This window comes from Homo sapiens, chromosome 10 (assembly GCF_000001405.40).
Source record: "Homo sapiens chromosome 10, GRCh38.p14 Primary Assembly".
Taxonomy (NCBI): domain Eukaryota; kingdom Metazoa; phylum Chordata; class Mammalia; order Primates; family Hominidae; genus Homo; species Homo sapiens.
In genome coordinates this window covers 91,142,601-91,167,421 of record NC_000010.11, presented here as the reverse complement: position 1 = coordinate 91,167,421, position 24,821 = coordinate 91,142,601, and the positions used below count along the sequence as shown (strand labels likewise).

General features: G+C 42.7%; 1 protein-coding gene, 1 long non-coding RNA gene and 1 pseudogene across 9 annotated transcripts in view, besides 6 other annotated features; 2 read left to right on the top strand and 1 right to left on the bottom strand.

Annotated features, from left to right (window-relative positions):
• Positions 1–11,203, bottom strand: part of PCGF5 (polycomb group ring finger 5) — a 128,119-nt gene extending 116,916 nt beyond the window's left edge. For 4 of the 7 annotated variants that reach the window (NM_001257101.2, XM_047425843.1, XM_047425846.1 and 1 more), the window contains exon 1: positions 4,341–4,429. The gene's annotated coding sequence lies outside the window, so the exon portion shown is untranslated. Of the gene's footprint in view, positions 1–4,340; positions 4,430–4,837 lie in introns of those variants that run through there. The other 3 variants (NR_046435.1, XM_017016776.3, XM_017016777.3) reach the window with 3 other exon arrangements.
• Positions 2,732–3,268: an enhancer, noted in NCBI's record as "H3K4me1 hESC enhancer chr10:92923911-92924447 (GRCh37/hg19 assembly coordinates)". NCBI's record gives its function as "activates a minimal SCP1, AML or CMV promoter by ChIP-STARR-seq in naive H9 embryonic stem cells {active_cell/tissue: H9 hESC(naive)}" and the evidence as "EXISTENCE:reporter gene assay evidence [ECO:0000049][PMID:30033119]".
• Positions 2,732–3,294: a biological region, named in NCBI's record as "H3K4me1 hESC enhancer GRCh37_chr10:92923911-92924447".
• Positions 3,165–3,294: an enhancer, noted in NCBI's record as "active region_3761". NCBI's record gives its function as "activates an Ori minimal core promoter by ATAC-STARR-seq in GM12878 lymphoblastoid cells {active_cell/tissue: GM12878}" and the evidence as "EXISTENCE:reporter gene assay evidence [ECO:0000049][PMID:35858748]".
• Positions 3,545–3,884: a silencer, noted in NCBI's record as "silent region_2604". NCBI's record gives its function as "represses an Ori minimal core promoter by ATAC-STARR-seq in GM12878 lymphoblastoid cells {active_cell/tissue: GM12878}" and the evidence as "EXISTENCE:reporter gene assay evidence [ECO:0000049][PMID:35858748]".
• Positions 4,085–4,754: a silencer, noted in NCBI's record as "silent region_2603". NCBI's record gives its function as "represses an Ori minimal core promoter by ATAC-STARR-seq in GM12878 lymphoblastoid cells {active_cell/tissue: GM12878}" and the evidence as "EXISTENCE:reporter gene assay evidence [ECO:0000049][PMID:35858748]".
• Positions 4,855–4,944: a silencer, noted in NCBI's record as "silent region_2602". NCBI's record gives its function as "represses an Ori minimal core promoter by ATAC-STARR-seq in GM12878 lymphoblastoid cells {active_cell/tissue: GM12878}" and the evidence as "EXISTENCE:reporter gene assay evidence [ECO:0000049][PMID:35858748]".
• Positions 11,204–14,224: 3,021 nt separating the features above from the next.
• On the top strand, positions 14,225–14,887 carry NUDT9P1 (nudix hydrolase 9 pseudogene 1; annotated as a pseudogene). Its single transcript, NR_002779.2, has one exon. The product of NR_002779.2 is annotated as a nudix hydrolase 9 pseudogene 1 (transcript).
• Positions 14,888–18,853: 3,966 nt separating this feature from the next.
• LOC124902481 (uncharacterized) lies at positions 18,854–19,891 on the top strand. Its single transcript, XR_007062241.1, has 2 exons — positions 18,854–19,189; positions 19,367–19,891. It is a non-coding gene; the product is annotated as an uncharacterized LOC124902481 (long non-coding RNA).
• The last annotated feature ends 4,930 nt before the right edge of the window (positions 19,892–24,821 follow it).

Here is a 24,821-nt window from a genome sequence, read left to right as displayed (position 1 = left end):
TTCCTCCTCTGAATTCACAAAGTATTTTCTTTATGCCTCTCTAACAGTTCTCCCATGTAAAACAGCCTTTAGTTATCTGTCTTATGTGCTCTACATGACTCTTAAGCCTCTTAAAGAAAGAGTATCTATGTCTAATTAACCAGTATTCTTCTTATATTGCTTTATATATATAGTAAGCTGGATGAGAGGTTGAAATATTCAAGTTAACTTCATATCCATCATATAGCATATAAAATAATGAAAATGTACTTATCATAAAAGTTAATTTAGACAAACTCTTAAGAAGGTCTAGAAACTAACCATTTTTGTAGTTTTTGTTGGATCAAGGATATATGAATTACCTTTAACTAAAATTGCAGGAGAACTGTATATTTCTTTATTGGTTTCTGAAACCATAGAGCTGGACGAGATCTTAGAAATCGGTCATTCCCCTCCCCCATCCTGACCACCTATTCTCCGATTGAAAAAACTGAAACTTCTGAGAGATTAAGCTGCTCCCATGGTCACACAAATCTGTAGTCATAACTATAGCAGTTACCATTTATTAAGAGCCTTTTATACACCACACACATTATATATATACATTATCTCAGTCTCACACAATCCTTCAAGGTAGATGGCATTATCCCCACTTTAGAGATGACAGAATGCTCCAAAAAGTTAAGTAACTTGCTGTGGAAAGCTCTACTTATTAGGGGCAGAGCTGTGTTTTAGCCCCAAATCTGACTGGCTGCAAAGTCTAGGCTTTTCTATTGGATGCTGTGACAGAGGCAACACCCATCAGATGTCCTGACTCCTGTCTCCTGTTTCTCCAGTAAATAATTATACCAAGTAAGCAAACATGCACACTTACAAGTTTTAAGACTTTAAAAAAAAACTGGAGGCATAAAAATTAAACAGTAGTTTCATTATTGTAAAAGTTCTAAGGTTAATTCTAGGTTATTTACTGCCAATATCTAATTCTGTTGTCAGAAAACTTCTTCAATGTGGAAAGGAGATATGTTTTCCTGCTTTTTCACTTCCTAAATATATTTTCAACTTAAAACCCATTTATCCAACTGCTTTCAATAAGCATTTGTTGAGCCCCTAGATGTTGCAGGCACATGGGAGGATACAAAGGTGAATAAGACATTATTTTTCCCTCTGAGAGTTCACAAGCAAAAGGCAGACAATCAACTAATGATAGAAACCATTCTTCTCCACCTATAGCAGCTCTGGCTAATTCAGGAACTTCCAACCACTTAAGCTCTTTATGAGAGTCAGGACTCTTGGTTCTGACTCTTGCCTTGTACCTTAGGCAAGTCATCTCACTATGCCTTAGTTTCTTTAGTGAAGGGATTGATTAAAAAGGAATGAACTGCGCCAAGTAATTTCAAGGTCTCTTTTAGCTTTAAAATTCTATTGTCTCTGAGCTTACTCTTGAGATTATGCTTCTGCAAGTGATCACAGCTACTATTATGGAAAGGGAACTGCTAGAAGCCCATTCTTCTTCAGCACTAACTTCAGAAGTACTGAGTCCTGAAAATATTGCTACAAGACTGGGGCTAATTAACATGCCTCCAAAGTTGATTTATAATATAAACTTTATCAAAGTTTATCCTCTAAAGGGATATTATTAAATATGACATACACATCCTTTTTACATTATATCACTGACTTATAGCTGTAATTCTTTAGAATCCATTTAAGATGTTTAAAATATAATTTTAAATAACTCCTTTTATGTACTCTTCTGTGGCATTACCGACATGAACAACAACAAATCAGAGTTAAGGCCTCTGCAGCATAAATCCTGTTTTCATTTGATTAAATTAATACTTCATATTGGATCACTTGAGCCTGGGAGGTTGAGGCTATGATTGCGCCACTGCACTCCAGCTTGGGCAACAGAGTGAGAGAGACCCTGCCTCAAACAAAAAACCTTCATACTAAGTGGTATTTATTATGAACCTTCCCAAACTGCAGCTAAACTTCAGGCTGTTTTCCAGGCAGTGGGGAGGGAAGATATGGAAATATTAGTATTCCAAATAAGTGGAAACATAGGACTGTGGGATTTGACTTTGCTGATTCCATTTCAATATCCTGCACCTTTTCTTCAACTAGCACAGATAATATTTTTAATCATCCAGAAGTTACATAGTAACATACTTTCTCTTGACAGAGCTCCACATGCTTTATCTTTTTTCATACTAAGTGTCTTAGGATATGATGCTCAAACCCTTGTTGTGCTGTAGGTTAACATCACAGAGCAGAAAATGAATCAAAAGAAAACCAGGAGGAAAAAGAAGAAAATTAGAACTGCACCAACTTGGTGACTTTCCCACAAAAAAAAAGCACTGAATTTCAACTGTCAAAAACAGTCCTACCAAGAAATCTGGAAAAGAGTTTATTCATTCACGATTCAACAAATACTAAGTGTTTCATATATGCCAGGCACTGTTCTAGGTGCTAGGGTTATAGCAGCGAACAAAACAGCCCAAATCCCTAGCATAGTGGAGCTTACATTCCAGTAAGAAGAGATCAGACTAAAAGAACTCCTAAACAAAGTAAGATCAGATAGCGATTAAGCGCAGTGAAGAAAATAAAATAGTATTATGGGGTGGCTCCTGGGGGAGGGGACAGGAGATAATGAAGGCGATCAAGAAGGCCTGGCTGAGTAGATGCCGTTTGAGGTGAGTCTTAAATGATGAGAAAACTTTATTCAGTCTTACTAATGTGAGGTGGGAATGAGTCAAGTTAATCTTTGAGAGTGATCACATTGGGAAAAATTCTGTATTCATGAATGGCAACCGAGGTTCCTTTTAGGATCTGGCTTTTTAAAAACCCTCAAAAAACTAGTCTTAAGGAGTCTTCTTTTAAGATCCACTTTTAAAATTTTTCTAATTACTTCAGAACCAGTTAGGTAGACGCAATTACTAGGAGGATTCCTTCAGAGTCTGATACCTCCCTCACTTGACACCAAATACTGAATGAGACAGGACCCAGCCCTGCAGCGAACCAGCGCTCCTCAACCGGTTAATGTAGCCAGGTGGAATTTTGTAACTCTTTCGAGAACGCAAAACAAGCCTTGGGGAATGTGTGGACCCTGACCCCCCAAAAGTTAGTGTGGAAGAGGGGACCCCGCTGCCCTTTTGCACTAAGTCTCCCCCGTCCCTCCGGGCGTCCCTGACCCCCCCACAAGTTATTGTGGAAGGGGGGGACCCCGCTGTCCTTTTGCACTAAGTCTTCCCCGCCCCTCCGGGCGTCATCACTGCAGAGGGGCCACTCTCCCTGGGTCAGAGGTACATAGCGAGTACGCGCGCGTGTGTGTACCCCGCATGAATCATCGGGGCCCGGTCCGCGGGGCGATGATTCATTCACCGCCCTGGAGCTCACGGCCACACGTTCCGGGTGTACTATGACGGCCGCACACGCAGCTTTCTTAATATTAAACAAATGTTTCAAAGTACAAACGCCTGGGGCCAGAAACCTGTAGACCCAGGAGAGGTGGCAGCGAAAAAATAGCACGTTTCGGCCGCTGCCCGAGTGTTGGCGGGGAGGGGATGGGAGCAGCGGGCACGTCCGTCCGTGCCCCCCCACCCCACCACCCCGGCACGCGCGCGGGCAGCGCCCGCAGGGGGCGCGGAGGGCGTACAGGTGGGTCCCGCCGGGTCCTGCCTCCTGCCCCTCCCTGCCACTCGCGGAAGGCCACCGCGCCCTCCCCAACGCGCCTCTCGCTCGCCCCTTTCCTCTCCGTGACATCTTATATAATAACCTGAGCTAATCAAAACGGAAGCGACGCGCGCAGCCGGGAGCAGATGCTCGCGCCCCGAGCCAGCGGCCCCCAAACTAGGCGCCGGGGCGCGCGGCTGCCGGCGGGGGAAGGGCCCGAGCGCCGACTCAGGTCGTCCCTCCTCGGCGGAGGCGCCGCTGCTGCCGGTCCCCATCAGGAAGCCGCGAGCGTCACAAACTGCGTCAGCTTCTTCGAACACATTTCATGGTCTCCCTCCAGCCAGGGAGCCGCTGCTCCCGCGGCGGGGCCGCGGCCAGGACTGGAAGGCGCCCCTCTGGGGAAGAGAAAGTTCCTCGGGGCCCTCCCCTTGCCCGCCCGGCGCCCGGCCCCGCCGTGCCTCCAGCCCCTTTCCGCGCGCCGCCAGCCCGGCCGCGCCGCCCACCGGCCCGCACCGAGGTCAGGTTAGGCAACTTGTGACCCCGGGGCGCCAGGCGGCCCCCTCCCGCCCGCCGGGCTCGCCTGGCTCCCGGGGCCTCCCCCCCGGCCCCGCGGAAAACAGCCACGCCAGAAACTTCCCTGGGCCGCGTCGGGCGGGGAAGCCGCCTGGGTCCCCGCGCATCGCCCTTACCTTGCTCTCGAGAGGCCACGATCCGGGCGGGCCGCGCGGGGCGCGTGGTGCGCGAGCGCGCGCGCGTGGGGCGGTAGGTGAGGGAGCCCGCGCCGGCGGGGGCGGGGCGGGGCAGCGGGGGTGCGAGCGGCGCGGGGCGGGGGCTGGGCCGGCCCGGCGGGCGGGCGCGAGGAGAGCAGAGCCCGCGGCGGCGGCGGCGGCGCTGGCGGCGGCGGGCGCGGGGCGAGCGCGCCGAGGGGGCGGAGGAGTTACCGTGGGTTTGTTTACGCATTGCTGCCCGGCTCGGGGCACAGCCCGCACTCCCTGATTGGACACAAACTGGGGCACAGCCTCTCGCCGCCGCCCGCCAGGCCTCCTCGAGCCGCCGCCGCGCAGCTCCCGGAGCGTCCTGCCGGGCACGGCCCACGGCGGTGCCCAGGCCTGGAGGGGACGAGCCGCGGCGGCTGCCCCGGGCGGGCGTGAAGCCAAGCTTTCGCTCGGGGCTCGCAGTCTCCCACCTGTAGTGGCCCGACCTTGGCAAGGAGAAATTCGAAACTTCTCAGGCCGGAGACTTCGAATCGTACAGCCTCTGAGGGGGCACCTTCTCCCCCCACAGACGGAGGAAGCGTGCCCTTGAATAGATGGAAGGCAGCTCGAATGTCAGTATGCCTCCCTGGCGATGGTCAAGTCCAGGCTTCCCGTATAAGCTGCCCTCCACCCGAGAGCTCGCAGTTTCTTTTCCTGCCTCCAGCTTCTTTGCTTCTAATCGCAAAGTCCCCCCACCCCACCCCACCCCCGCCACCCCACCAGAAGTGACCTTGCCGCCCTGATGCTGAAGATCCTCCAGTGACTCACCATGGCCTCGAGCCTTAATGCCTCATTCTCAGAGTCCTCAATAGCTGGGCCTCCATTTTTCAGTCTCCCCTCCACTTCCCTACCCTCACCCCAAAGCCTCCGTTTACAGACAACACCTGAAATGTGTCTGTCCTTTGACACTTTATTTTGATCCTTCTCTGTTCTCTGCCAGAATACCCCTTAGCCGCCTCCACCTGTCAAACTTTGTTGGACTCAGCTCCTGTAGCCGTCTCCTACCATCTCTGTGCAGTCTTCCTGCTCCCCCAAGCAGAATCCCCCCTTGTGGCTGGCATCATTCTGACCTGGGGGTCAGTTGTGTGCATGTGCTGTACCCTCTCTGATCTGTGGATTCCTTAAAGAGGAGTCTGCTTTTAACAGAGCTCTGGTGATGGGAGAAATGAAAGCTGTAAGACTAATATTGCCTCCGAGTGTCTGCAGCTCTGGTGAGACTGGAAAAGTTCAGGAGTCTTTATCAAGAGGCTCTCCTGATAGGTCCGCAAACCTCATCTTGCAGGAAGCAAACACTTCCAAAAACTGAGCATGCCCTCCATTTTTCCTGCGTCTCTATATCTCCTCCCCACCACACCTAGCTATGTGCCCTCCATACTCATAATGGGCACTTAAGTAACCCTTGAGGAATAAAATTGAATTCTACAGAGATGTTCCTTAAGCCAAGGCTGGCGGTGATCAAAGAGAATAGAGTAAATCATGAAAAAGTAGACATGAACCCAGTCATTTTACAGCTAATTCCTAGGCTAAGAGCCTTCCGGCCCTGTTAGGTAGTGTGGGTTTGTCGCTGTCTGATCACACACTGAAGTAGACCCTGACCCTTCTTGACTCCTGGGACTGCTAGATTTTTTTCTCCGATGCGCTGCTTGCAGTCCCATTAGGAAAAGTGTCTTTGAACTCTGCAAGTGAATCCAGCGAAAGTATTCTTTCCCAAGCGAGTCAATAGCAATAATTTAATGCAGCAAATTAGTTACAAGTGTTGAAAGAACTGGACGTTCAACTAGGGTAAGGTGAGGCAATCCTGAGATTAGCAACTGCTGGACGTGCCTTCTCCCCTGAGGCTGGAGGGGCAAAGAGAGGAGACAGCCGGAACCCTGGAGGGCTTGTCCAATAGGAGTTGGAGCCACAAAGTTAGTGCAACTACTGCGGCAGACATCTTCCAAAGTAGGGGATGAGAGTCCCCCTGGCTTCTCCCTGCCTCCCACCCTCCAAGCCCACCCAGTGGTGGAAAGCAGGAGAAGCCAGTGGACAAGATGACAGAGGGCAGGGCTCAGAATCCCTACAGAATATGTGACAGCCGCAAAAGGAGAATGGGTCTGAGAGCCCAGCGGCAAATGACTGGCACCTGGGCTTGGGTGCTGCACCTGGTTGCCTCTTCCTTTAGGCCGGATTCCGCAGTGCAGCAGGAACTTTCTCTTCCCGAGGCCTAGAATTCTCTCCTTCTTACTTGTCCCTCTTTGCCCTTCTGCTTCCATTACCGTTCTATCCTCTTCTTCGCCGTCACTCCCTTACATTTCTTTTTTCTGTCTCGTCTTGTGTACTCTGGCTCTCGTTTTTTCTTTGTGTTCCCATATATCTCCGCCTGACTTCTTTTCCCCCCCAGAGTCTCTTCTCCCCTCTTCTTGTCCTACTCCTCCCTGGGCAGGATGGCAGCTTTCTTCAGCATGAAGGAGATGACCAGTTGCCTATGGAAGGAAGAGATTAGGAATTATCCTGTTGCTGCCCTTCCAGACAGTGTAGTAGATATTTTACAAACGTTCTCATTTAATCTTCATCTCACTCCTACTAGCTGGGCAACATTTAATATAATCTGGTGACTTTGCTATTGCCTGTCACAAGGAAGGCTTTGTGCCCGTCACCAACAACACTGCTGACGGTTCTCTTACCTTTCCTGTACGTGGTTCCCTGCAACCTTTCTTCTTATCCTACATCTTTTCCTTTCATTAGCACAGATACTTCGCCCAAATCCCAACGCCCAACAGTCTAATACATCCGCACTTTAAATCCCCAAAGACTGAGAATGGCTATTTAGAGGAGGTGCATTTCAGCTGGCACTTGAAGGATGGATAGATTTTCAACAGATGGAAATGGAGGAAGGGTATTCTTGGTGGAAGAGTAAATTATGTGGTTTACGTTGACTGAAACAAGGGATAACTAAGAAATGAAGCCATATTTCAGAAACTTGTCTTCAGCTCTCAGTTCTCTGAGACTATTCCGAAACACAGATTAACCATGAGCGTATTAAATATAGATATGATTTATATAATTAGAATCATAGTGTTTAAAGCCAGAAAGAATTTTCAACATTGTTTGGTGCAACGTGTCCAGTTTTAAGTGAGGGAACTGAAGCCCAAAAGACTTAATACCTGGGATATCATAATGATTAAACATGGGCATTAGAGTTTGACTACCTGTATTCAAATCCCTACTTTAACAAATTTTAGTTTATCTGACCTTGAATTATCTGTGGGTAAGTTTTCTTATCTATAAAATAGAGAAAAATGATAGAATCTACTTCAGTGGGTTGTCATGAGAATGAAATATCGTCATATGTAAAACACTCTTGCCCAGTTCAGACTGCCATAACAAACTACCATAAACTGGGTGGCTTAAACAACAAACATTCATTTCTCACAGTTCTGGAGGCTGGAAGTATGACATCAGAGTGCCAGCACAGTCAGGGGTTGGCTGAGGGCCTTTCTTCCTCCTCTGGAGTGCTGACTTCTCATGGTATCCTTACATAGTGAAAAGACACTGAGCCTCGGAGCTCTCTGGGGTTCCTTTTATGAGGGCAGTCATCCCATTAATGAGGACTCCACTCTCATGACTTAATTACTTCCCAAAGGCCCCACCTCCCAATACCATCACACTGGAGGGTAGGATTTCAACATATGAATTTGAGGGGAGCCATGAACATTCAGTCAATTATAGACATGTTATAGGTGCCTGGCATATAGACAGTACTCATTAAATATAGGCAAAAAAAAATTATGACTTCCTGTGGCTATCCAGCTAGTAAATACCAGAACTAGAACTGGTACCCCAAGTTTTTGTGGCCCTAATTGTATGTTCCCTGCATTATTTGAAGCTATGTCTTATGATGCTTGTTTAACACCATCTGTGAAGATATGGTGCTCCTCTAGTCTGCTGTTTAAAGAAGTGCTCAGTTATCTTTCTAGCTCCAATTTCTCTACATTTCCTGCTTCCTGCTTCCTGCTTCTGCTAGCCCTGGATCCCCCCACCAGTCCTCAGCAATCTTAGCATACTGTGAAGTTCCAGGGGAGAAAGGGAGCAGGAAAAATTATCAGCAAACCTGTATTTTATAGTCAACTGTTTAGGTTACAAGTTCTGATATAGTAAAATTTTACTAATTTAAATTTCAAAGGGCCAAAAATATTGAGTTAAAGATATTCAAATTATCTGTTATTCTTCAGCCTACAGGGTGTCAACTCTACCAGCTTAAATTTTAGTAGTTCCTTAGGGGGATTCACTGGGACCAAGAAAAAGCATTGTTTGGGGTATCTAATTCTTCAACAAAGTTGTGATGGAAGAGAACAAATTTCTTTGTCCCTCTTCCTTTTTACCTAGTCGCTGGTCCCACTTTTCAAAACTCCTCCAGCCCCATGACCTTTATGTAGTCCACTCTCTCTTGACCATAAGCATCTTGAGGCAATGAACCACAACTTACTTGCCTTTTAATGTCTAGAACCTAGCTCAATATCTGGAGTATAATAGGCAGCCACATGTTGTTGAACTGACTGACTTGAGTAATGCTGCACCAAATACCAAAGGAATCCCTTCCTCCTCCCCCTTCAAATCTTTGTCTCCTCAGTTCGCCGTAGCTAGTTGTCATCCTGTTACCCTAATGCACCGGAAAGCATGGTAACAGCTGAATGTGAAATAAATGTGCATTTTATATTATGAAGTACATTTAAAGAGGTTTATTTTAATGGTGTAAAGCCAGGCAGTATTTTAAGAAGATCAGGAAGACATTTTTGGGGCAGCTGGACTTTCCCAACACCTTCATATCACACCACACAAACTGAAGCTTATCTCTCCTATAAATAAAGTCTACTTGACTTTCATTGTTACACATTTTACTTTAGATTTCTTAGGTTAATTGTCAACAGCCTGTATTCTACATATGGGTGTATTAATTAATCCTGCCTAAGTCATTTCTTAAAAGGCACCATTTGTCTTAATCTTAAAAAGTAAGTAATTGTCCCACTTCTCTCTTTTACTTCAAGGCCAGACTAATGATCCAATACCTTGATCACTCACTGCCTCTTGAATTCCTGAAATCTACCTTCTACTTCCTCTAATTCATTTACATGCTTCCTCTAGGAAGTTGGAAGGAATCCAAAGGATTAATTCTAGATCAACTTATCATTTTTGAAAGAGGAAATTGAGGAACAAAAATGTTAGTGGCGGAATCTCCAGTTCCCACAGCACTCATCCCATGCTCCATCCTCTTATCATGTGTCCTTAAAACACAGCTAAAAGTGAATTTCCCACTGTCAACTCCCCTCCTGGCTTCCCTGTTTATGCCAATCACCACCATCCATTGGGCTCTTTAGGATTAAAATGGGCGATCTTTGATGACTCCTTCTCTTTAGGCCTCTACTTCCACTTTGGGATGTCTCTCTTGCTTGTCTTTTTTGTCTGAATTTTCCCATGAATCAGGGCATTTTCTCTTTACAACTGTTATTACAATAGGTTGCTAATGGTTTCACTGTCTCCAAATTCTTCCTCTTACAGAGTGAACCCAGCAGAAGAACCAACTTCAGTCAAAAATTTTATAGGCATAGTAAAATGGTGCCATTTTGCCATATAAAATCAAATTCAACATGCATTCAGACTATCAATAAAATATGAGTTTATATTGTCAAGCCTTTCTGGTTCTGAAATATATAGTAATAACTAGCTATGTGATCTTGGGCACATTTAATTCTATGAATTGCAATGTCCTCAGTCTGTTAACTGTTGATATTGTTAGTATATGTGCCTAACTCAAAGGGTTGTTTGAAAATTAAATGGGATAACAAATGTAAAGTACTTAATAGTAATAGTTGCAATAACTATTTGTTGTGGTCCTACTATTGATCAAACATTAGTCTAAGCTATTTAAATGAATTATGTCACATCAACCCTATAACATGGATACCATTATTATTTCTAGATGAGAAAACTGAGGCCCAGAGAAGTTTAAAAACTTGCTTAAGGTCAACTAGCTAAGAAGTGGCTAAACCAGGATTCAAAACTGGGCAGTCTTACTTGGACAAACCTGTACACCATTCTGTTACATGGAAATAACTTAGTATATAGTAGTTAATTTGTTATTTATTATCATTATTACCACTTTAAAGAGAGGAGAAAACCATTTTTCTGCTTTCCTTCAAGATTTGTTTCTGAAGTTGAGCCTTAGCATCACTTTCGGAAGAGATGGATAATTCTTGATAATTAAATGTGGTGGGTACCACTTGTTTGTACTTCCCAAAGAGAGGTAGGAAGGATGGTTAGGGGTTCTTGCACTGCCTGGACCTTGTAATCACCCTGGTCCTCCCCATATCCACTTTGCCTTTCATAATATCCTTAATATTATAAAATGGGAATGACACAGGCAATCTCTGACTCGGGCATAGTTCATAGTGACAGGCCAAAGATTTATTCTCTGATTGCCCCTTACAGTTCCTTTAGGGCTTTCTCGTGGATAGAACCAGAAAATTCTCTGTGTGTAGCTCTGCTTGTTCTACCTCAGACATTTCTGCCTCAGAAGACAATTTAAGAAAGGGAATCTCCCCAGTGGCTTCCCAGCAAATAATTCTTTTGGTTTCTACTACAGTTATTTTATTTCTTGCCCCTAGGGTATCTTTTGCACCACAATCATCAAATGGTCTTATCTAACCATCTTCTGCCTGCTGACGATGCTAAAAATAGAATAAAATGCCTTATTACTGGTTTTGAAGTTCCTTTCTAGGTACCCATGAATTATTATATTTCTGCCTTGTATGTGGCACACCATACCCTCCCTGTTCCTTTCCTTTCCTCAACAGTGTGTTTTCCCCCTGAGCATCTGGCTGTTTATATTTGAACATCTAGTCTTTTGGATTCGTAGCAAAAATTGACCTTGCCCTTCTAATAATGAGATTTTCATAGATCCTAGAATCATAAAATGCTAAGTCTTGAAGGAATTTTATAGGTAACAGAGGCCAACAGATTCCTTTTCTAGTGAGGAACCAAGACCCAAAGAAGCCAAGGGTCAGATGCAAGCTACAAAGCCTATGATGGGAGGAAGCCGGAACCATACCAAAGACATCTGCTCCATTTGTTTCTTATGAGTTGGAGTAGGATACCTGGAAATAATGAGGAATTCACAGTATATTTTCCCCAAATGTTTTAAGTTTTTGTATCAGTGGTTTTCTTAATACATTTTCAGGAGACCTGCAGGAATAGAATTCCAGGATTTAAAAAATTGAGGCATAGAAAGACAAGAATTATAGAGCTGGGATTGTGTCCCTTAAGGATCATCTTTCTTTCCCAGTGGTACTTTGTACAGTGCTTTGCGCACAGCCAACCCTCAACAATGTTGATGACAATGATGGTTAAGGATGACTATGTCTCATATTTCTCTGTTCTCAGTCCTTTTCTACCATTTTGTTCCCCATAGCCCCAGCTATTTCTGTGTTTCAAGCCTTCTAGAAACCTGCCTCATCTTGTTTGGAGTTTAATGAGGGCATTGGGTATGTATTCTGTAGCTGCCTTCCATAGTTATGATGATAGTAATAACTTCAAATGATTAGGGATCTACCCTCAATCACACATATACATTTTGAAACCTTTCTAAACTTGAGGAAGTATGTTCCTAATATGTTACCAGTTATTGCAAAAAAGAAACATTCTCTGGTTAGAATGTTTCTAACCAGAGAATGGAAATACCAGATGAAACAAAATTAAACAATTTAATGTTGATTTGTGTTTATAGAAATTTTCAGGATCTTTAGAACACTAATGTGAACCCTGAATTTCTAAGGGGACAGGGTGATAAAATATGTAGAATTCCCCAAACATATTTGACCATAAAATCATTTACTCATTGAACATCTTTCTAATGGGACTGTTTCAAATGATCAGATACCTTTCCCTAGGGCTTGTTTCCTTCTGAGTAATGTCTAAGACCGTGCCTCTTCTCATTATTTATCATTTCAGGACAGATGCTGTTATTTCTCAGCCTGAATTTCTGTTATTTCTCATCCTGATTTTCTCTAACCATAAGCTGTTTAATTCTGACCTCATATGTGAGCTGCTCAGTTCCCATAATCATCTCAGCTGTCCTGTTCTAATCTACAGTTTTCAAGGTGCAGAATCAAAAAAGTTAACGATAATTACAGTGATGACAACTAATATTTATTGAGTTTATGCTGTGGACCAGACGTTGAGCTAACATGTGTTATAACATCCTACTTAATTGTCACCACAGCCCTATGAGGTAGTTATTAATATTTTCATTTTACACATGAGGAACCTGAAGAGAGCTTATGTAACTTCCCCCAAGAAAGTGGCATGTGGAGGAATTAGAGCTGGGTTTTTAACCTGTGTTCGACTTTTACCTGATACCTGGCATTGCCCTTTCAGTGCTAATTCTCTCTCTCTCTCTCTCTCTCTCTCTCTATATATATATATATATATATATACACACACACATATATATATGTGTGTATATATATGTGTATATGTATATATGTGTGTGTGTGTATATATATATATATATTAATAAAAATGTGCTGCCTCTCCGAGCAGAATCATTTTAAAAGCAAAGGGCCCGTGGTCCAGCCTTCAGTTCACTCTTTTGTGCTTGGCACAGTACTTGGCATTCTGTAGCAAATACTCCTAGGAAAAGAGAGATTAAGGAACTTGCCAAAACCATTCAGGTAGTAAATGATAGACCCACGTTTTGAACACATACTCCGCTCATCACACCCTCTCATGGAGTTCTCATCAGCACCACGCTCAGTGTACCAGGTGAGTCCCCCTTGTTTTTTTAGGCCACCCCCACTCGGCTTCTGAGCATCCCAAACAGGGAGTTTTGTCCACTCCTAACCCCACGTTCATTCTGCCCTCTCCCTAACAGAAAGCATCCTAAACCTTGTGAACTAAATTTACTGGTAAATGGCTAGTGGGCTAATGGCACTTTGGTGGTTCTCCTTTGCTAATTTTATTGTCGTTAGGAAGATGTCCTCAACCCCAGCACTTTCCATTTGGGAGCTTTTCCAGAGGTCAAAATCTCTCAATTTACAACCAAAACGCCAGGGCGGCAGCGAGAGTGCGCGGCCCGGTCGTGGTACGCCCCTGGCAACCCCGCGGCACCGTTACCTCCACGCACGAGCCATTGGCGCGCCCCGTTGTAGCCACTGGAGACGCCACACGGCCTTTTAGGAAGGCGGGCCATCAACTGGTGTTCAGGAGAGAAACGTGGCCACCTCCCCGCGGGCGGGTGCTGATCTGCAGTGGAGACTGCGCCCCCACGCAGAGAGCAACCGAAATCCCCTCGGGCCGCTGGGTCTTGCTTGCATGGCTGGACGCCGCCTGTCCAAGGCTTTAGCGACCGTGTCTCCCTTCATGACCTTGGCCTCTGTGACAGGCGACCGTGTCTCCCTTCATGACCTTGGCCTCTGTGACAGGCAGGCCCGGCAGCTGCCCCAACATCCTGGCCAGCTGGAGCCTGTTTTCCTCACATAGGTTTTCTCTAAACTTCATCACGTCAGGTTCGAAGCGCACTGCTGAGAAGCCCCACGAGAAGGCCCGGACATCTCCGTACCCTGGCTCCAAGGTGGAGCGAAGCCTGGTTCCCCATGAGAAAATGAGCTGGCTGGTCGAGTGGCGAGAGTAACGCCCGTGGAGTACATTGCCAGCTCTGTCTTGCCTGGGCCCGTGTGGGCAGACCCTCAAGTGGGTGAAAGGAACTTCTCTCCTAAGTTTAACGAAAAGGATGGGCATGTGGAGAGAAGGAACCAGCATGGCTTATATGAGATTGAGAAGGGTAGACTTAGAAATCCTGCACCTCGGACAGGACTGGTTGGCCAAGGGCCTTTGGGGTGTTGGGGCCCCAATCATGCTGTAGATTCCATCTTAACCAGATGGAAAAGGGATAGCAAGGGAAACGAAATTATCCACCCTATTTCTGGAAAAAATATCCTGCAATTTGTAGCCATCAAAAGGAAGGACTGTGGAGAATAGGCAATCCCAGGGGGTATGGTGGATCCAGGAGAGAAAATTAGTGCTACATTGAAGAGAGAATTTGGCGAGGAAGCCATGAACTCTTTACAGAAATCTAGGAAAGAAATGCAGGAGTTGGAGAGACAATTGCACAAACTCCTCAGTCAGGAACATTTTGAGGTCTATAAAGGCTACGTGGATGATTCTAGAAACACAGATAACTGCTGGATAGAGACAGAGGCTGTGAACTACCGTGATGAAATAATGGACCATCTTCCTCTGGAAGCTGGCGATGATGCCAAGAAAGTGAAATGGGTGGACATTAATGATAAACTTGAGCTTTATGCCAGCCTCTCCCAATTTATTCAACTTGTGGCTGAGAAACGAGGTGCCCACTGATGTGAGGATATGTATCCTGATTGCCAGGGATAGTAGCTTGGAGTCTCATGTGAGCCAAAGGCCTTCAAATGATCAAGAGTGGATAAGAGGCAAACAGCACATAACTCCCACTAAACAGGACAGGGAGGGTCACCTCTTTGGTGATTACTTCCAAAACTGTGCTGTGTGAAGGCTTTGTATTAAGGAATAATAATAGACAAATACGGGGAAATGGGATCACAGAATTTTTGGCTTTCCTGTTAGAAGAAGAATATACTCATATGCTGTATATATTGTATACATGGTTTAAACTAACTTACACAGCTACTGCTCTTTGGAGAATTGTAAGAAAAACAATGACATCTTCCTTAACAACCATAGCCTCTACTTTTCAGCCAGTTTGCATTTGTCAATTCTTCTTTCTCCTGATGTTTTAATGTGGCATAATCTAATGTATAATCTGACTTTTGAGTTAACATTTATTTTTTAAATTTAGCTTTATGTGGTCTTGTATTCCTTCCTTTTGAGTATGGGAGCTCTCTGGCTTTTCCTTTTTGTTTTTTTAGAGCTTCAGTTTTATGGGAAAAGTTCAATCTCTATTTTGGTCCACAAGGATCAAGTGCTTATGAACCAGACCAAAAAAAAAAAAAAAATGCAGTGACAAAATGAGCTTAGATCCAGCCCTCTGGTTATCAGAACTCTTTCTGTCTGAACAGAATAAACTAAGCTGAAGATACTGATTTCTTCTCATCTCAGGAGAAGACCCTACAAATGCAGATTCTTGTCATGCAGGTGCCTTTATCGGGACATGTATGTAATCCAAGCCTAATGAAAATACAATAATTCACACCTACCTTTTCTCAATTAAAAGAAAAACACAATATGCAAACAGAGAAGATGCTTATAGTCAGGTTGCAAACACAGAGACAGCCTCTCTGACAAGAATGTGGGGATTCCAATAGCAACAAATATGTCAGAAACCTGTTTTCTTCTTCCGTTTCTCATCACCTAAAGCCAGTTAAATTTATTTGCAACATATGGAAAATTAACTCAAACCACTATAACAAGCCTTTTATGACTGAGGGAAAAATAAAGACAATTGCAGGAGTTGATAGCTTCATAAGAGGATTGCTTCAATAATAATAGCTGACACATTCCACTTACTATGTGCAAGCACCCTTTCACATGCTTTATGTATGGTGACTTATTGATTCCTAAGGATCACCCTATAAGGAAGGTACTCTTATGTTGCAGGTCAGGCTCCCTGGGAAGCAGACTCCAAAAGGGAGATTAGATTACAAGATGTTTACTAGGGAGTGGTCTTGGGATCAACACCTGGGGAAAGAAGGAGAAGAAAGCAGGATTGAGCAAAGTGAGCAGTTGAGCTGGAATGCAGGCCCAATGGAAGCCTCAGCCAACTCCATCTGGAACTCTGGAGCTGGGAAGTCCCTTCTAGCTTCCCTGAATTGGAGTGATGGGGCCAAGCCTTTATACCCCATGTTGATCAATCATTAGATATGGCTGTCCCTGGAAGGAGGTGTGACCTTGAGGGAGAGAATTTCTTCAGCCAAGACAATCCACTAAAAAGACTGACAGTTAAGGGCCATCTTCTGGTAATATTCCCAGCCACTGTGAAGTAGAATCTGGGAGGAGGGGGTGTGGGGTGCATTGCAGGGTCTACTACATATTATTATCTCGGTTTACGGATGATATAACTGAGGCACAGAGAGAGGTTACAGAACTTGAACAAAGTTATACAACCAGTAAGTGGTGGAGATAAGAGTAGAGCATAGATCACTGGGCTCCACAGTCCACACCCTTGACCGCAATACCATAATCTCTCAATAATTACCCTCCTATAGTTTCCAGATTCCCTGTGCACTGTTCCTTTAAAGAAAAAGAAAGAGAAGTTGTCATACCATTATATCTCTTCCTACATGCACATTTGAGCAGAGTTCTCTTTTCTAAACTTGAAGGACAGTTGGATGATTTTGTTTTTCTTTTGAAAAATGTTGTGTTTATGTGGGTGATGACAGTTGTAAAAAGTTCACTTATGGATGCTCATCATTGTTCACGCCCAGGAATAAATTTAATACATCACTTGTGCATTCTAAAACTGCTTCTATTTAGGATGGAGCCTTTCGTCCTATATATTAGTCTTCTCTCATTCACTTTTCCAGGTGAGATATACCCCCATCTTTATTTAAATAATTTAAGCACCCAGTTTGCCTAACATTTTTGAATGTTCCCAAAACCAACTTCATTTTTTTCCTAAAATGTAAAGCTCCTAAAAAATACATTTACATATATTTATTACTCAATCATTGCAAAAACATAAAATAATGGTCTTTAAAAAGTCTCAAATTTAATATATTCAGAACAGAATTCTTGATTTTCCCCCCAGAAAACTGTTCCTCCATCACTCTTCCCTGGTAATTGGCACCAAAATCCACCCAAATTGGACAAGAAAACAAGGAATTATCCTAGATTCCTTTATTTCCCTGTACCAGCACATTCAGTCCATCTGTAAAATTTACTCAGCTCTACCTACCACAAAATACATCCAGGGCCAGTCGCTGTTCTGCCACTTCACTGACCACCCTAGTCAAGCCACCAACTCTCCTTCTTTAGACTCCTGCAATGGCCTCCCAACAGGCCTCACTTCTGCTGCCCTCCTCCTCTTGCAGGTCATTTCCCACAAAAAATGAAATGACATTTTAAAAAATCCCAGTCACATCATGTCCCACCCTCTTAAAACCACCCGATCACTTCCTTTTGTACATAAAATGCAAACTCCTGATGCTAGCTACCTGTTCTGGAAGATGCATACTCCTCCAGTCTGATTTGGAAAGCTAGTAACATTCCACTTTTGACTAGGCTGGCCTTCCTCTTCTTAACACGCTTCATACTTGCTTCTGCCCCAGGGCCTTTGCTTTGCTTTTAACCTGCCCAAAATGTCCTTTCCATACAAAGTCAGTTCCTTAGGTCATTCAGGTCTCATTCAATTAACAGCCCCTCAAAGAGAGATGTCCTGACCACTTCAGCTAAAGTGACCCATACCGTCTGTTCCTACTCCCTCACCCTGATTTACTTTCTACACAGTATTTAACACTAGCTCAAATGATCTTACACATATTCTGTTTACCTTATGAAGAAGAGAGCCTTGCATAAGAGCAGGGATTTTTCTGTCTCATTGATTGCTGTAGCCCTAGTACCAAAATAATGTCTGGCATGTCAACAAATTATTTGTGGAAAATAGCTGCTGTAAACATTTTTATGTATACTCTTTCCCCCTTTTTAAAAAATTATAATTGTGGTCTAACTTTAAAAAAAAATTTAGATTTCCAAAAACATTGCAGAACAGTGCACGTGATTCTTGTATAACCCTGAGCCCAGCTTCCCCAAATGTTGACAACTTATTTATTCATAGTAGTGTTATTGAAACCAGAAAATGAACATTGATTTAATACTTTTTACTATTAATTAATCTACAGATCTTATTCAAAATTTTCCAATTATTCCACTAATGTCCCTTTTCTATTCCAAAATCCAACGATTCCACATTTCATTTAATTGTATCTCTTTTATTTTCTCCAATCTTGGAAAGTTCCTCAATCTTTTTTGCCTTTCAGGAACTTGACACTTTTGAGAGTACTGGTCAGTTTTTTAGTAGACTGTCCCACTACTGACATTTTCTCACGAATAAATTGAAGTTATATATTTTTCGCAGATGTGATTTGCTTGGGTAAAGTTGTATATTTAAAAAATTGGCCAGGTGTGGTGGCGCACGCCTGTAATCCCAGCACTTTGGGAGGCCAAGGTGGGTGGATCACAAGGTCAGGAGATTGAGACCATCCTGGCCAAGATGGTGAAACCCTGTCTCTACTAAAAATACAAAAATTTAGCCAGGTGTTGTGGTGCGTGCCTGTAGTCCCAGGTACTTGGGAGGCTGAGGCAGGAGAATAGCTTGAACCTGGGAGGTGGAGGTTGCAGTAAGCCGAGATCATGCCACTGACTCCAGCCTGGCGACAGAGTAAGACTCCATCTCAAAAAAAAAAATTAAGCTTTTTTTTTTTTTTTTTTTAGCGTAATCACTATGAGGCAGTAAATAGAATATGCTATATATTTTTAAATGTCACCGTGGAATTTCCAGTCACCTTGTATTAATTTTGACTCACATTTTTATATTTTTATGCATGCACACACAATATTTAACTTTCCAAGTCCCTTCTCTGTAAAGGACTTGAGGTCTAGGAAGTGCTAAATTTCATTACCTATCCTCTCTATTCTCTTCCTTCAAGTTCCTGAGATGACAGTGAATGCTGTGTTATCCTGCTGTATCAGTTACCTATTTTCATACAAATACTTCAATCCCAAAACACACTGGCTGGAAACAACAAACATGTAATTAGTCTGTAAGTTTAAAATTTGACAATTACGGTTTGACTGGGTGGTTTTTCTGGTCACTGCTGGGCTCATTCACATGCTTGGGAACTGGGTGGCTATTGGCTGATCTAGGATGACCTTAGATGGGATGATTGAAGAGAAACTTCTTTGTGTCGTGTCTCTCATTCTCTATCAAACTAATCCAGGGATGTTCTCATGGCAATGGCAGAGGAGCAAAGGCCAAATGGAAACATGCAAGAGTTCTTAAGTCCCAGGCCTGGAAGTGACAGCAAATCATTTCCCTGCACTCTACTGGACAAAGCTACAACATCAACCTAGATTCAGTGAATAGGGAAATTACTCCATGATATAGTTTGGATATCTGTGTCTCCATCACATCTCATGTTGACATGTAATCCCTAGTGATGAAGGTGGGGAGGTGTTTCGATCCTGGGGGTGTATCCCTCATGAATGGCTTAGCGCCATCCCCTTGGTGATAAGTGAGTTCTCATGAGATCTGATTGTTTAAAAGTGTGTGGCACCTCCCCCAACTCTCTCTCTCTCTCTCTCTCTCACTTGCTCGCTCTGGCCATGTGACGTGCCTGCTCCCGCTTCACCTTCTGCCATGAGTAAAATCTCCCTGAAGCCTCCCCAGAAGCCAAACAAATGTCAACAACATGCTTGTACAACGCAGAACCATGAGCCAATTAAACCTCTTTTCTTATAAATTACTCAGTCTCAGGTATTTCTTTATGCAATGCAAGAATAGCCTAACCCACCCCATGAGAGAAAGTAGAAAGTCACATGGCAAAGGGCATGGATACAGAGGGAGTGAAGAATTGGGGCCATTTGCACAGTCGATAACCCCACATCCATTGTGCCTTTTTTTCTAACAGCTTTGAGATATAATTCACATACTATACAATTCCCCCAATTAAATTGTTCAATTCAGGCTAGGTCTGGTGGCTTATGCCTGTAATCTCAGCACTTTGGGAAGTTGAGGTGAGAGGATCACTTGAGGAGTTCAAGACCAGCTTGGGCAACATAGCAAAACCCTGTCTCCACAAAAAAACAACAACAGCAAAAAACAACATTAGCCAAGCATGGTGGCACGCACCTGTAGTCCTAGCTACTAGGGAGGCTGAGTTGGGATGATCACTTGAGTCCAGGAGTTTGAGACTGTAGTGAACTATGATGTGTACTGTACTCCAACCTGGGTGACAGAGTGAGAACTTGTCTCTAGAAAAAAAAAATTAAAAATGCAGTGTTCAGTTCAGTAGTTTTTACTGTACTCACAGGTTGTGCCACAAAGACCACAGTCTCTTTTGTAGAATATTGTCAAACCCCAGAAAGAAACCCCACACCTATTATTAGTCACCCCCATTTTTCTCCCTCCATACCCTCCAGTCCTGGCAATCACCAATCTACTTTTTGTCTCCATGGATTTGCCTTTTCTGGACATTTAAAATAAATTGAATCATACAACGAATTATCTTTTGTGACTGGCTTCTTTTGCTTAGCATGTTTTCAAGGGTTTTTCCATGTTGTCACATATATCAGTACTTCATTGCTTTTTATTGCTAAATAATATTTATCTGTACTGCTATATCACATATTTATGCATTCATTAATTGGTGGACATTTGGATTGTTTCCACTTTTGGTTATTATTAATAATGCTGTTATGAATATTTACATACATGTTTTTGTGTAGACATATGTTTTCTTTTCTCTTGGGTATACACTTATATCTAGGAGTGGAATTGCTAGATCATATGGTAACTCTTATGTTTAACCTTGAGGAACTGCCAAATTGTTATTCCAAAGTGATTGCACCATTTTACATTTTCACAGTCATGTATTAGGGTTGTAATTTCTCCACATTCTAGTCAACACTTGTTATTGTCTGTCTTTTTTATTAGAGTTATGCTAGTGGGCAAGAAGTGGTGTCTCATTGTGGTTTTGTTTTACATTCCCTTATAGCTAACGATGTTGAGCATCTTTTCAAGTGCTTATTGACCATTTATATATCTTCTTTGGAGAAATGTCTATCCTGATTTTTTGTGCATATTTAATTTGTTAATTATCTTTTAACTATTGAGTTGTAAGAGTTTTTGTTAGTATATTCTGGATACAAGCCTGTTATTAAATATATGATTTGCAAATATTTTCTCCCATTCTGTAGGCTGTCTTTTTACTTGCCTAGTGGTGTGTCTGAGAAAGCACAACAGTTTTTAATTTTGGTGAAATACAATTTTTAAAAATATTTTTGGTCAATTGTGCTTTCAGTTTCATATCTAAGAAAGTGTTGCATAATCTACAATCACAAAGATTTACCCCCATATTTTCATCCAAGAGTTGTAAAGTTTTAACTCTTACATTTTAGGTCTTTGGTCCATTTTGAGTTGACTTTTGTATATGGTGTTAAGCAGGGGTCCAATTCATTTTTTTTTCATGTGGCTATCTGGTTGTCCCGGAACCATTTGTTGAAAGATTGTTCTTTCTCCCATTGAATTGTCTTGGCACTCTTGTCAAAAATCAGTTCTCTAAATGTGAGGTTTATTTCTGGACTCTCAATTCGATTCCATTGATCTGTTATGTTTATCCTTATGCCTATACCACACTGTATTAATTACTGTGGTAAGTTTTCAAATTGGGAAGAATCTGTCGTGCTTTTGCACTTGGTTGTTCCTTATTTTTTTTCTGATAATTTTCGGATTCATCCCATAAAACTCAACTCAGACGTCTCCTTCTCTAAGAAGCTTTCTCTAACTCCCATTGGTAGAGTTAATCTTTTATTCCTTTGTGTGTCCTTATATATTTCTCTATTGTTGAATTCCATTATAATTTATTTTTATTGAAGTCAAAGGCTGTGTCTTACTCATTTTTACATTCCCAGTGTCTAGTGCAGTGTCTGATCTACAGTAAGTGCTCAATAAATGTCTACCAAAAAGCATAGAAGAGATAGAGGTTTTGTCTGCTCAACACCACAGTTTTATCTGTTAACATTGCTGGGGCTTTTTAGCATAAGTCCAAGAGTATTTGTTCATGTTGGTGCAACTTTCTGCCACTTTTCTCATCTAGCAATGGTTGGGCAATTGTTCACTTTGATGAATCGTTCCAGTTATTCTCAGCATGCTGCTGAACATTCTCTTCTTTTTATCAGGGCCTTTATCTAATAGGATGACAAACTGATGAAAGTAAAATTATGGGAATTACAAAGTAACAGGGTGGTGTGGTTTGCTTCATCACTTGCTTAAAGTTTGGTACACACTGTCCCTGTGCACCTCCCTTTTCATTGCTGCACAATAGTAACAATAACATACATTTACTGCATGCCAGGTACCATGCAGGCATTATCATGAATGCTTCTTATCCCGATCAAAGGAAAGTTTTTAAGATTGCTTTTTGTTTAGCAAAGAAAAATCTATGTGTGCCACCTCAAACTCGCAGCTTTTTGAGTCCAGCAGCAATTTTTCTTCTTTCTTGGCATCTACTATGGCTGCATATATATGTAGTAAGAACCCAAGTGAAATAGAAAAGCCAAGAAACATTTTTTCCTTTATCATTAAATAATTTAGAGTGAATAAAGGAGTCAAATACAAATAAAAGCCATTTGATTCAGCTCTGATGAGTTTTATAATGCTAACATTTACATATGGCAGTATACTTTCTAGGTGAGAAAATTGTTGCCTTTTAGGAGTTCTTGAAAGGTTTTGATAGTATACACTTTAAGAAATGGAAGATTGTCAAGACTTTCTCCATGGTTATATGTCACTTGAATGCTAAAAACCACATTTCAGTGTGGTAAGTTTTGTTCCTGGATTTGTCACTAGCTATAGGAACTTGAGCAAGTTGCTTCACCTATCCAAGTTTCCTTAGAACTTATAATTCTATAAGTGTTATATTGACAGATATACACAACAATTTTATGCATTCATAATTGGAGACAGTATATAGACTTACACTTTTATAAATATTATACATTTATAAAAAGTAACCTTTTCAAAACAGGAATAAGGATTTATGTATGTCAGAAACCTGAATCGTATTATAGCTATAGTTTCTTTTAAGAAGGTATTTTAAGAAAATTGGTATATTAGTTATCTATTGCTGCTTAGCGCTATTATCAAAAATGTATGGCTTAAAACAATGCACATTGATTATCTCACAGGTCCTGTGGATCAGGAGTTCAGGGGTAGCTTAGCTGCTTCAGGGTAGCAAAAGGATGCAATCAAGGTGTTGCCTGGGGCTGCTGTCTGACCTGAGGCTTGACTGGGGAGGGATCTGCTTCCAAGCTCATGTGGTTGTTGACCACATTCAGTTCCTGGCAGGCTGTTGCACTAAGGGCCTCAGTTTCTTGCTGGCTACTAATCAAAGGCTGTCCTCAGTTGTGTGCCACTTGGCCCTCTTTGTAGGCCAGCTCACAACATAGCAGCTTGCTCCATTTGTCAGAAGCAAGTCACAAGTCCCATCCCTACTCAAGGGAGAGGAACCACAAGGCATGAGCACCAGTAAGTTAGGATCATGGGGGCCACCAGAGCATCTGTCTACTGCAATCTGAAAACTACAAAAGGTACAAGAGCAGTGGAGTAGGATAACATTCTAGAAGGCACACCATCTCCAACACACACACACACAGAGAAAGACAGAGAAAGAAAGAGAAAGAAACTTTTGCAACAGGGGGAGCATTAGGTTTTTCCCTTATTCTCTATTTCAGGAAATGCTGCCATCCATTGCTCAGTCCTCAAACCCAGGAGATACCTCTGACTCTGTTCTCTAGCCAGCCAACCCCCTAATCCAGTCCACCAATAAGATATTAAAAATGACGGTTCTCTTTATTTTCACCGTTCTTTACCACTCCCAGTCACCACTGTCTTTCCCTGAGATATTGTTCCACCACATCTCTCAACTGGCCTCATGGGTAACACTCTTGCCCTTTCCTTTTTAATCCACCCTTCATATAGCAGCCAGGGTGCTTTTCTTAAAACATAAACCAGAGGATGTTATTCTCCTGCTTAAAATCTTCCATTGGCTTCCCAATGAATATAAATCCAAGCATTTAAATCTGACCTATAGGACCCTATATAAACTGACACCTGCCTATTTCTCTAACCTCATCTGTTCTATTAAATTTTTCTTTACACCCAATTACATTTTTTGATTTGTTATAATTACATAAATTTATTTCATAGTCTAAAAATAATTTTAAATAAATAAAATTAGTATTATTAAGTAATCTAACAAATAATATGGTGTTACCAGTATCACTTGAACAGGGTAAAGTAAATTTTAATAAAGCCAAGCATTTGAGGCAAAGTTGTTGTTGTTGTTGTTGTTGTTGTTGTTGTTGTTGTTTGAGATGGAGTCTCGCTGTGTCACCCAGGTGGAGTGCAGTTGTGCCATCTCGGCTCACTGCAAACTCTGCCTTCTGGGTTCAAGCAATTCTCCCATCTCAGCCTCCCGAGTAGCTGGGATTACAGGCATGCACCAATGCACCACCATGCCTAGCTAATTTTTGTATTTTTAGTAGAGACAGGGTTTCACCACGTTGGCCAGGCTGGTCTTGAACTCCTGACCTCTGATGATCCACCCGCCTCAGCCTACCAAAGTGCTGAGATTACAGGTGTGAGCCACTGCACCCAGCTAAAAGTGTTTTGTT